The 12,484-nt window shown below is 36.1% G+C and overlaps 1 protein-coding gene across 4 annotated transcripts in view; it reads left to right on the top strand.

The window, feature by feature from the left end:
• SLCO1C1 (solute carrier organic anion transporter family member 1C1) overlaps positions 1-12,484 on the top strand; it is a 58,055-nt gene that overhangs the window by 33,317 nt on the left and 12,254 nt on the right. For all 4 annotated transcript variants that reach the window (NM_017435.5, NM_001145944.2, NM_001145946.2 and 1 more), the window contains 3 exons: positions 4,261-4,456; positions 8,459-8,624; positions 11,536-11,720. In NM_017435.5, the coding sequence (NP_059131.1) occupies positions 4,261-4,456; positions 8,459-8,624; positions 11,536-11,720 (547 nt within the window). The remainder of the gene's footprint in view (positions 1-4,260; positions 4,457-8,458; positions 8,625-11,535; positions 11,721-12,484) is intronic.

Genomic DNA, 12,484 nt, shown 5'->3' on the forward strand with positions numbered 1-12,484 from the left:
AGAAGTTCTAAAACATCTCCAAGTACTATTATTATTATTATAACTCATAACTATTTCAACCCAAGGCATCGGTTTGGAAATCAAAGTTTCTAGCTTGCAGTCTATTGTAATTGTGCTGACCATCTCAAACATTTTACACATCCTTCATAACTCCTTTTTACATCAGTATCAAGGAATAAAATCTTTAACCTGATGAGTGTGCTAAAACAATAATAATTATATAATAAAATGTAACAACAATATAATAATAAATTAGCTCTTAAATGTATCTAAGGTTTTCTGATATCTGGGTAAATATGCATGTTGAATTCAAAAGAAAACACAGAAAATAAATTGAAACAAATTTTAGACGCTAGTGTAAATTAATATTTCCATTTGGAATACTTCCTTGATGGTAGATGGTAAAAATTTTTAGATCAACACATTTTATGATGTGGGTGGAGAATAAATCAAAGTTTAATTTCTATCTCACTGAATGATTTAAAAATACCTAAAATGAAAGAGAAGCCTGGGGAGGGAAGAAACACATCTTATATGATGTGAAGGAAATTTTTTATCAGCTTGACCCACCATGGACAACTTAATACATCCTGTGAAATTTGAAAGGGAGAATCAAGCCAACGTTATATTTGAAATGTACTAATCTTTTTTGGAGTTGTGTTATAATTTAGTTATCTTGAAATAGGAGAGTAAGATATGCAGGAGAAGTGCTATACATACACTAAGGTTTATTCAATTAGCACATTTTATTGGAAACCACTGAAAGAACATGGGATTCAATTCAATTAGCCATTCTTCCTTTGAGGGTTTGGTTGGAGGGTGCGATACATAAACTGAAAAAGCTAGCAGGTAACTGTTAAAGCATCAAGTCTGCTGCCTATGGGCCCCTGCACAAGGAACTCCTGATGAGCAAGAAAATGGGGTTCTGATGACCAAGTTTTGAGCCCTGGTGCCAAATATGTCCCCTGGAAGCCCCATATGGCTGGTGGAACCTGTGAGAAGGAACTCTACTTAGGGGAAGCTCAGAGTACTCTGGGAGAACAAACCTAATCTTGGAACCAGGAAGAATTCTCAAGCAGAAGATGATGATACCTAAATCAAGAGAAAAGGATAAGAAAGTATTAAAAGATGAAAGTGTGAGAAAGAGGGTAGAGGTTTTTATCAGTCAAAGCAAATATCTTGTGTGGAAGGATCTGGAGTCAAGATAATACATGAAATGTTGTGGAAGTTTCAAGAAAACACTAGCCACCAAAAAGAGGTAAATCAGGAAAGGATATTCCTGATTTTTAACAATTTATACTGAGGGTGCAGATGTCCCTAGGATTATCCCATTTCAGTTCTCAGGCTATTCTAGGCTGCTGGGGGTCTGGGAGGTCAATGGAATCCAATACGGCACATAGGTACAGACAAGGTTACACCTTGTGTTATTACTTCTTACGTCCAGGTTCAATTGGTACTTTACAAAATAAAATAAAATGCTAGAAACATGCTCTGAAGGTTTCAGTTCGGAGTTTGGTTTTCAGAAGATACTTTATTCATAAACCAATTTTGGGGATGGAATTGAGAGAGAAAATGTAGGACCCTGCTGTTTGTGTCAGCTTTGGCTTTGTGGAAGGCATTCATAGTCAGGTACTATGTTTTATATATTCAGTGCATGTATGTGCGTGTGTAAAAGTAGGCACTTCAAGGATATATATCAAATTCATAGCAGCACTTACTTCAGGAGAAAGAAGATGAAACCTGAAACAAAGGGAGAACTAATTTTATCTACTTCCACATTTTAAAAAATCAGAAAATTTAGGAAAAAATATTAACATTAATTAAGTTGGGTCCTAAATAACTGGGTTTGTTGATATATTTTCTATAATCTATTCATTATTTTTGAAATAGTAATCAGGTGCCTCTAAGTTGACTTTTGGCTGTTCAAGGTTCCAGATTTTCATCTCTGCTGCTTGCCATACCCAGCAACCTCAGTTCAGCTGGAAAAGCAAAAGTTGGCATTTCTTCTCTTTTCCATTTGACTGACTTCATGATCATGCCCCCTTTAAGGTGGGCTGAGTTCTAATATGATAATTTTAATGTTAACATATACAACCTATGGTCAAATAAAAACAGATGAAACAAAATGACCCTTTGTTATCATCTGTACATGTTAGAAATATTTTGCGGGGGTCTGTCCTGCAGTCCCCAGCTGCACAACGGCTGAGACACATACTCAAACACCGATAATCAGTGAAACAGTGGGCCAGGGGGCTGCCGGCACTAGGGGCCCAAGAGAGTTTGCTGCCCCTCCAGACTGGCAACGCTTGCATTTGTTTAGTACAGATTTAATTGACAAAGGCTTTGAGTCAACACGCCTGTGGGTAATTAACCTGGTTGCCCCCACCCCGGAGATGGCCATCCTGCCTGTGAATGATCAAAGGTTGATTTTAGGACCACATGAATAAATAAGCTATTTAGATAAACTCCCCTATATTCCTTTGTATCTGTGCCTGAAGTTCTCTGGCTCCTGAAAAGAGAATCTGGCTGCCTTCAGCCAAACTATCTGAAGTTATGCAAACCACCCCCAGCCTTCCAAGAGGGTCTGCTTCTTTCTATTCCTATAATTTCTTCTGCCACTCTGACTGATCTCCCACAATATATATTTTTTAAATAATGTAATAGCAAGCCAAAGACCATTGTATGTTGATATTTAAGGTTCTGTGATGCTTTGTTAAGAAACTAAATATATAAACTTAAAAAGAACAAACAAAGGGAAAGAAAGAAGAAAATTTGCATGTCATTATCACTAGATGTCAGTGTTTTCATTTTTATTTTACAATTTCACATGGGGTTGTAAGTCAGACATGGCTACTTGAGATTATTTTTTACTACAGCAAATGCTGATTTTGTCTTTGAACCTTATCTATTGACTACAGTACATGCAAACTTTAGCCCTTTTATTATTCGAAAGAGATGTATTATCTCAAAACCTCAAGAAAACATGGACATCAATGATTGATAGGTAGACAATATGAGAAATAAATTCTAATTAGCAGAGAATTTACTTATTGTTGAGTGCCAGATTGTTCTTCTTTAGAGTTACAATTTACAATCCAACAAATGGCACCAAAGTGCCTCTTTTCCCAAGTCTTTTGCAATACAAGGGTTCCATTCCCCACCCCACCTCCAATATTTTCATCTTTGTAAATCGAATGGATAGAAATTAATTGCATGACATTTTTTTTTACTAAACATTGTGCTGATAACTCTTCACAAATAATGGAATTTAGTTACCTCAATAATGCTATTATTAGCTCCGTATTATAGATGAGGAGACAGGTTTAGAGACATTCAAAGAATTACCTGCAGTTGCACAGCTACTCAGTGGTGGAACTGAGATCTAAACCCAGGCAAGCTGGGTCTCCAGAGTCTAAGCTCTTAACTACTAAATTGAACCTCTTCCTAGTGTTGTTTACAGCTCACAGTTATTAGATTACTAGTGAGGCTGCACATCTATCCAAAAAGATAATGTACATCTATTTATCAAGGATACTATTTCCCAAACCCCTGAAGGAGAGGCAACATAGCAGTGATTGAAAGCATAGGACTTGACATCAGTCTCTTTGCATTCAAATCTGGTTTGCCCACTTACTAAGTGTGGCTATGAACAAATAGCTCTCTGAAGTGAGGCTAATAATATGCCTGCTCTTAAGGTTGTGGGGAAAATTCAGTGTGATAATATTAACATATCAAATGCTTAGTTCAGTGGCTGGTACGTTATAGGCAAGTAAATATAGGTGGTGATTGTTGTTATTAGGAAGGATACCACACTCAAAGCTAGCAAGCTGGATCAACAAAAACAAATTTTGCCAGGGCGGGAGGCAGAAAATAGAAACCAAGACTAAAAAATAAGTTTTCTATATTCTATGTGCCTATTATTTTTTATATACAACATTAAAGAACATTAATGGGCACCTAATTGCTACCTAATTGTACTTGTTAATGCTGGAATTGGACCAGAAAGACCAGAAAGATTTATTGATTCATTTGGTATTTATTAATTTAATACTCTCTGCTAGACAGAACCTGAGACTGTGCAGTTGTACCACCATTAATCTATAACCTAGATACTCATCATACACTCTTTGTATATGTCAGTAGATGATAGTGACTATTTCTATAATTTAAAGTGACAAAATAGTCTTTAGAAAGTTTGTGTTAGTACACTCAAATCTTTTTTAGAGATTCACAAAATGATATATTTTTCTTGTTTCTCAGGGCTCATCAACATTCCAGCAGTGGCCCTTGGAATATTCTCTGGGGGGATAGTTATGAAAAAATTCAGAATCAGTGTGTGTGGAGCTGCAAAACTCTACTTGGGATCATCTGTCTTTGGTTACCTCCTATTTCTTTCCCTGTTTGCACTGGGCTGTGAAAATTCTGATGTGGCAGGACTAACTGTCTCCTACCAAGGGTATGTTCCCTCATTAAATAGTTTGAGGATATTGGTTTGTTTAATTAAATCAATTATTGGTGGAGTTGCAAAAAAGGAATTTGATTTTTAAACATCATAACTATGGTAAGCAACTTAGTATTTTATTGTGGAATAACTGACAATACCTAGAATCTGTTATTGTCACCAAAATTTATCATCTCCTTTGATTGTAGAGAAATATAAAAATTGCTAAACCCATATTTTACACTAGAGAACCAACCTGATTAATTTAGAAAAACAACATGATAGCAGAAATACAAACCTTGAATAATGCCTCTGTCTATTCTTAATGAAATGATGTACATGTGGTTTAAACTAATCCAACTTCAATTTTCCCATCTTAAAAACAGAAGTAATAACTACCTTTTAAACTTTTGTAAGGTTTAAGCAAGCTAACATACATGAAAGTGAATGCTACTTGCCTGACACAAGCTAAATGTGCCATTCATGGAAACAATTGTTTTCTTCCTCCTTTGAACATCTGAGGAACTGGAGTTACCTCTTTGCAATCCTCCATAGTTGCTGTTGTGCTTGAATCATGTAAAGTTTCAGGAAACAACGCCTGTCCTTCAACCCAGTGTTCCCCATAAAAGTTCTCTTTAGCTGAGTGTCTTGCAATTGGTCAGGAGAATATTTAGTGATGCCTTCAGGCCTCTCATCTTGTATGGGGTGGGTGATTACATTGCTTGGTTTCCAGAGTCTCTCTCAATACAAGGTTGAATCTTGTAGGAACTATATTGCCCTTGCCCATTGAGAGTCTTTCCCATCACTCTACCACTTCACATGAATTTCCAGAGGTAACTTTCTTCATCATTTCACCTATATATGCATTATTTGTTTTCTAAAAAAATTATCGAGTCTCCATCATGTGCCAGGAAGGCCTTCCCAACTGTATCTGCCTGGCCACCTGAAACTCTGCCTGTGGCTCAAAAGCAAACACTCCTGACACTATATTCTGTTTCCTGCCTATTCTGTGGCTTCTTGCTTACAGCCTGCTGTCCATCTCCCGTCCTACTCTTGCTTCCCTGCTTATCTGTCTTGTCTCTATGTTCCAACTTCCATCACCTTTATTAACCTGGTTTCATCTGCTGCTAAATGAGCGCCTGTTATAGTTTTGGCCATCTACAATGTTCAGGAAGATTGGTGAATGCAAAGTTCATAAATTACGGCTTCTGGGAGTTATCACAGCCACATTGTTAGACTCAGCTGAGTGTAGTGCTGCCTTAGTGAAAGTCAGTGATATGGATTAAGAATGTTAGTTGTAACAATGAAATGGAAGATGATTCTGGAGAGAGCAGAAGCCCAGTGCCATCTTTAACTGTCCCAGAAATCCTCACGGTAGAGGGACAGTTGTAGAGGACTTTATAGTTTGTGATTTCCAAAACACCTTAACTTTCATGATCTCATTATATCCTCAAAACACCTTTATGAGTTTAGTTTTGTTATCCTTGTTTAAAAGAAACTGCATGGATCTGGGGTTTGAACACAGGCGTGACTCAAAGTAGAACATTCTTTCTGCATCATAATTTCTAAGCCAAAAGTAAACACAAAGCAGACAACAAAAGCAAACTTTGAGATTCCCATTAAAAGTATTCCTACATAATCAAAGATTAAATATTTTAAACAAATAAAAGGTAACATTTTCATTGAGTGAGTACTAGCCTCTTCAAAGGAGTCACCTTGAAAGACTATAATTGTATTGCAGTAATGCTACTGTTGTTTAAAATATTCTAAGACTCTTATTTTGAATTTCTTTGTATATTTTTGAGAATATTCTTAACAAGGGCAAAGATTTAACCTTTAAGGAAAAGCTCTCATCTTTCAGCATAACTATCTTGAAAGGAAATCTCATTTGGGCATAAACATTCTGGCATATTTGTTAAAACTCGTCTTATAATTAAAATTCTAAATTACAAATCTACTGTCAGCACATCCTTCAGAAAAGATGTATCCCAATGATTCCTGCCCCTGATGATAAATTAAACTTTCAATACTATAAAGTATTTTTCTTTATAAAATATAAAATGTTTCCCATGGGTTTTTCCATGTTGCTTTATTCCAAACGCTGTCTTGACCTGAATATTCAATAGGAAAACTGAAGACAAGTCTTAGATATGATAATGGAAGAAATCTCTCTTCTGCAATAACAAGGACAACTCTGATGTGGACATAAGAATTTACAATCAAGAAACCTGGCAGGGTTCAGTTTCCAGGTTTGTCACTAGCAAGCAGTGTGAATTTGAGCATGTTACCCACCCACGTAGGGGCTGACTTCCTTGATCTGCCAAGTAAGAGGTTGGCATAGATTACTCCAATGTTCCCTCCAGCTCCAACCTTCTATAATCTCAGCCCTACAGTTTCCAGAGTTAAATGATTCTAGACTTTAAAAGGCAGTTTTATACTTTCAGATAATACAAACAGTCTCAGTTAACAATTAAAATTTTATGGAAGAGAATAGGATTAAACATTCCTATAGCACATCTCAGAAGGCCTAGTTCAGTACCCTTTCACACTATTTGGAGACATCTCAGAGGTCTTTGGTTTGTACTTTTGAGGTGACAAAATTCATCATACCAGTTCTACTAGATGAAGTATTACACTGATTAAGAAATTATGGTTGCCATCATTAATGACAATACTTCTCAGAGGCAGAGGCTCAAGTGATTAATTTATTTCTCCAAAATAAAGTACCATTTTTTAATTGACTAACTTACTGGAAATTTTGTTTCTTAGCTTGCTGTGTGACAGGAATTATTCCTGGTTCTGGACATATGGGAGTGAATACAAAAATAGTTCCTGCCTCTCTTGATTGTACAGTTCAGTGTATTTTTTGTTTGTTTAAGCTCCTCAGCTATCTTTATAAAAAATGGGAGGAAAGATATGAGGAATAAGCAAATAAATAAATTTGAAAATAAGGAGCAGAAAAAATGAAGTATGGAGGGCCAATGAATGGCACATATGGTGCAGATAGAAATGACATACCATTGCAAAAGTTCCTTTTGAGAAGAGTAGAGGAATATGAATAGCAAAAAAAAGGATAAAAGCAGAAGGATTAGGCCATTCAGGTGACAGAAAAAAAAGTGAGGGAGAGAGAATACTGGGAGAGATGAAGGATAAATATAAAAGCGAATGGCAGAGAACAAAAAAAAATGAAGGAGAAAAGAAAGAATGCAATCACAATTTTGTGAAATAACTCAAAAAAACCAATTTTGGGGGGGGGTGCAAATTTTGTCTCATTAATGTTTGTAACCATCTCCTATTCTCCCGGAGCTAGCACTTAGTAGGCTTCCAGTAAAATTTTATCAACAAATAAATGGGTAAGTCATTGAACTTACTTGTGAATTTGAGTAAGAAAGGATGCTATAAGATATGAAAGAGCACTATACACTGGGAGGATACACAGGAGAAAGGTTGAATGAACTGGGAATGCACTTGTTGGTTACACACATGCAAGAGGACATGTAACTCCTGCAAACACTGAAAGAGAATTAACTGATAACTGATTGGCTATTTTTCCTTTTACTGGACCATTAGTAATATCCATTCCACTCATACTTAGACAACAATTCTGAATGAAATTTGCACACACACAACACACACACACACCCCACCTGTGATGCATTGAAGTAGTGTCATAAATTGCTCTAAAAGTTTACTTTTCTACCTTGTTAGCTATTTTTATACACCTTTGCACAGAAGTATATTAGAAGATCCTAGAGGCTGTAGACTGAAAGCTATAAGCTAAGAACTGGACATCATGTGAATTTGTAAACCTCTAAAGATAACTTTCAAGAGAAAGCTGTTTATTAGTAAACTCACATTTCATGACCAGAAGCTGCCATTTCTGATGACAACTGTGTTTCTAAAAGGCAAATTTTGTTCATAGTATCATTTATATCACTCAAGAACATTGATTTTTTGAAAATATTCGGGTGCTACCTGCTAAGAGGTAATATTTTATATTGTTATATTTCTTTTCAGAACCAAACCTGTCTCTTATCATGAACGAGCTCTCTTTTCAGATTGCAACTCAAGATGCAAATGTTCAGAGACAAAATGGGAACCCATGTGCGGTGAAAATGGAATCACATATGTATCAGCTTGTCTTGCTGGTTGTCAAACCTCCAACAGGAGTGGAAAAAATATTGTAAGAAATCACCTCTCAAGTATATGGCGATGGTCCTGTTACAATATAAACAACAAAACTCTATGGGGGCTCACAGCAGACCACTACTAGTAGGAGGCTTGCCTCTTACCTCTGCCTGGTCCTTTTTTGTAGAAAAAGAAAATGTTATAACCATTCCTAGTGGTACTGGAGTTGCTGAAAAAATTAGGGTGAGAATTAGAGTCATCAAATAGGGTGGAAGAGATTTTGTAATTATGTAGTCTATTTCTCTCATTTTGCTTATAAGAAGTGTTAGCCCTGAATTAGAATGTCTGTCGTATGATCATCATAATAAGATATGCTTTCAGATCCATGTCCCCTGGCCCTAAGATCCGTGGTCCTTGGAGGTTTTAGGGAATGAACAAATAGAGGCCAGTATTAGGAGGCTTAGCTCCAGAGATTCTAGACCTTGGGGTCAGGGATCTGATAATGAGGAGGTTGATGGTTCTAGGACAACTTTGGAAAATCAAGCCAATTTGTATAATAATGAAAGGGCAGGTGGGCTGGAATGGAGGGTTTCCATAGGGCAGAAGAGGGAGATGAGGTAGGAAATATAGGTAGGAATCTATTTTAGTCAGTCCAGGCTGCTATAACAAATATACCATAGAATGGGTGGCTTAAACAACAAACATTTATTTCTCATAGTTCTGGATGATGGGAAGTCCAAGATCAAGGTGCCAGCAGAACTGGTTCCTAGTGAGGACCCACTTTCTGGTTTGCAGATGACCATCTTCACCTTTTATCCTCACATGGCAGAGAGCAGACAGGGAGAGACAGGTCTCCTGTCTCTTCTTATAAGGGCACTAAAATCACATTCATGAGGGCTACACCCTCATGAACTAATTACCTCCTAAATGCTTTACTCCAAATACCATCACATTGAAGGTTAGGATTTCAACATATGAATTTTGGGAAAATATTCAATCCTTAACAGAAAGCAATTGTGAAGGATGTAAAGTACTTCAATCATTAACAGATTCACCCTTCTCAGCACACCTTTCCATTCCTGTCCCAAACAGACTCTTCCTTATCCTTGCTCTCTGAGACTGCTTTCTATTTGTGACTGATTAAATTTGCCTTTATTTGACAATCCTAGAGGGCAGAAAATTAGACCACCCATGTATCTCATTTATTTATATATCCTTATCAACTGGATATGAATACTTAGGCTGTATATCCACAGATATACAGTTAAGTTTGTTAATTTACTCTGTTCATTGTATTATTATTTTGACTTATTTACAGCAGAAAGGATTGGTTTCTAGCAACAATGAATAAGACTACCTACTCATCTGAAACATGTTTTCATGCTTCTCTTTTTTTCTTTTCTTTGCTTTCTTCCTTTGTTATTTTTCTTTCAGCTACTGTTATTTTTGCTCACAGCTGCATGAAGGTTTTTTTGTAATGAGAGCTACCATTTATAAAAGACATTACAAGGAAAGGTTAAAGATTGGTGTTAAAAGAACAAAATTACATTTAAATCTCATGGTCCTGAAATAATTTGCATTATTTTCAGTATTTTCTTCATGTGAGAACTGAGGCACTGAGATACAAAGGACTTGCTTAACTCATTTATCTAGTGAGCGACCAGAATTAAGATTCAAAGGTTTCAACTTGACATTACAAAAAATCTATATTGCCACTCTTTCTAGAAAAGTAAATGCCAGCTTTATTTATGGTCTAAAAACTCACAAACTCTTTTGTGATTAAAAATGATAACATTATATATATGCATTCATAAATAAAATTTACAGAAATAAACTATTGAGGGGTTATACAAATTGTCTCTCTTCAGTCAAAATTTAGTTGAGTTTTATGCACCAGAATTATTTTTTTCTCATAGCCACTGTAAATTATGTCATATCCTCAAATTGTTCCCATTTACTTAACTAAGTTTTATCAAATGCCTAAAATGAGAGTCTATTCCATTCCCCAGTTGCATAATAACAAAGCAGCAGTTTCTGCTTTCATGGAGGTTACATTCTGTTGGGAAAGTATGTTTTAAAAATAAGTAAATACAGGATATCCTGATAGGTAGTAAGAAGCACTGTAAAAAAAAGACATACATTAGAATAAGAAGATGGAGAGATGGGAGTTGTTTTTTTTTGTTTTTTTTTTTAAATGGATAGTCATAGAAGGTCTCTATTAAAACCTCTAAACGGAGAACTAAAGTATGGACGCCAGCTGTGTAATCACCGAAGAGAAGAGCTGCCCGGGCAGAGAAAATAGCAGGGCCGTGAGGCATGGATGAACTTGCCAGGTTTGAGGGGATGTTTGGAAAGGGCAAAATGGGGCCTTTGCAAGGGTCATGTGTGTGGCTTACACAGAAGAAGAGAGGGAAGATCACTGAATGGTGAGATTAGAGTGGCATCCAGGTGCTACATGATGGAGAAAGTGTAAACTGTTATAAGGATGTGGGGTTTCATGCAAGTATGATGAGAAACCACTGGCAGGTTGAGGGTAGTGATGCAGTCTGACTGCCATGTTTAAAGGTTCACTTTACTTACTGGGTGGAAAGCAGATACTAGCTAGATAAGATTGGAAACAAGTTGCGCATAAAGGGAGCATTGTAACAATCTAGGCAAGAAATCATGGTTACTTAGCATTGGAAGTGGTAGCGAAGGAGGTAAGGTATGGTTAGATTAGGCAGGATTTGCTGGGAGATTGTTGTACAGGATTAGTAGTTTGTAGATAGTCATCTGCTCTTTAGATAATGAAATGTTGTATCTATATAGATTTTGCTTTGCTCAATATACTGTAATACAAAAAAATAAAAGAATATTTCCTCATTGTTTACATAATGCATGGCTACGGTAAACATTTTTAACATAACTGTCTTTAACTTTATTTAAATGTTACTGAAATAATTGGACTTTTCCCTATCGTGTTACAGATATTTTACAACTGCACTTGTGTGGGAATTGCAGCTTCTAAATCCGGAAATTCCTCAGGCATAGTGGGAAGATGTCAGAAAGACAATGGATGTCCCCAAATGTTTCTGTATTTCCTTGTAATTTCAGTCATCACATCCTATACTTTATCCCTAGGTGGCATACCTGGATACATATTACTTCTGAGGTGAGTACTGATTCTCCCTATTCTAATTTTAACACAAGACACAATCATCTCGAGCAATGATTTAAATTTTTTTCTGTGGAGTCTATGATTCCTCTTAGTTTTTTCAAGAAACTTGTCCCACATCCTTGTTTCACTTTTATATATATCGCACTTTGGGTATTTATACAAAAATGTGGCTGAATAGAAGTTTTCTTAGTTAAAAATGTTTGCAAACTATTGGTCTAGGAAGCAATGTTAGTTTCTACATCACTAGAGTTGCTTAATAAATACAGTATCCTACTTCTAACGCTGGTGATAATAATAATTAGCATAGGTAACATGCATTTTAGATTAAATATAGTTTCACCAAGTCATGGGAAATAGAATTTATAAAATATTTAAGGCTCATCTAATACAACAATGTTAGAATTTATTTTATTTATATATATATATATATATATATATATATATGGCTTTATCTGTATATTTTTGCCATGACTGGAATTGTCTGTGGAGGATTTCATGGCTTTGGGTAAATTGAGGCTCCTAATCTATGATGTTAATGACTGTATTATTCCATTTTCACACTGATATAAAGAAATACCCGAGATGGGGTAATTTATAAAGGAAAGAGGTTTAATTGACTCACAGTTCCGCATGGCTGGAGAGGCTTCAGGAAACTTAAAATAGTGGGGGAAGAGGAAACAAACAAGTCCTTCCTCACAAGGCACAGGAGAGAGAAGTACAGAGGGAAGAGGGAAGAGCCTCTTATAAAACCATCAGAT

The sequence above is a fragment of the Homo sapiens genome, chromosome 12 (assembly GCF_000001405.40).
Source record: "Homo sapiens chromosome 12, GRCh38.p14 Primary Assembly".
NCBI classification, from domain to species: Eukaryota; Metazoa; Chordata; class Mammalia; order Primates; family Hominidae; genus Homo; species Homo sapiens.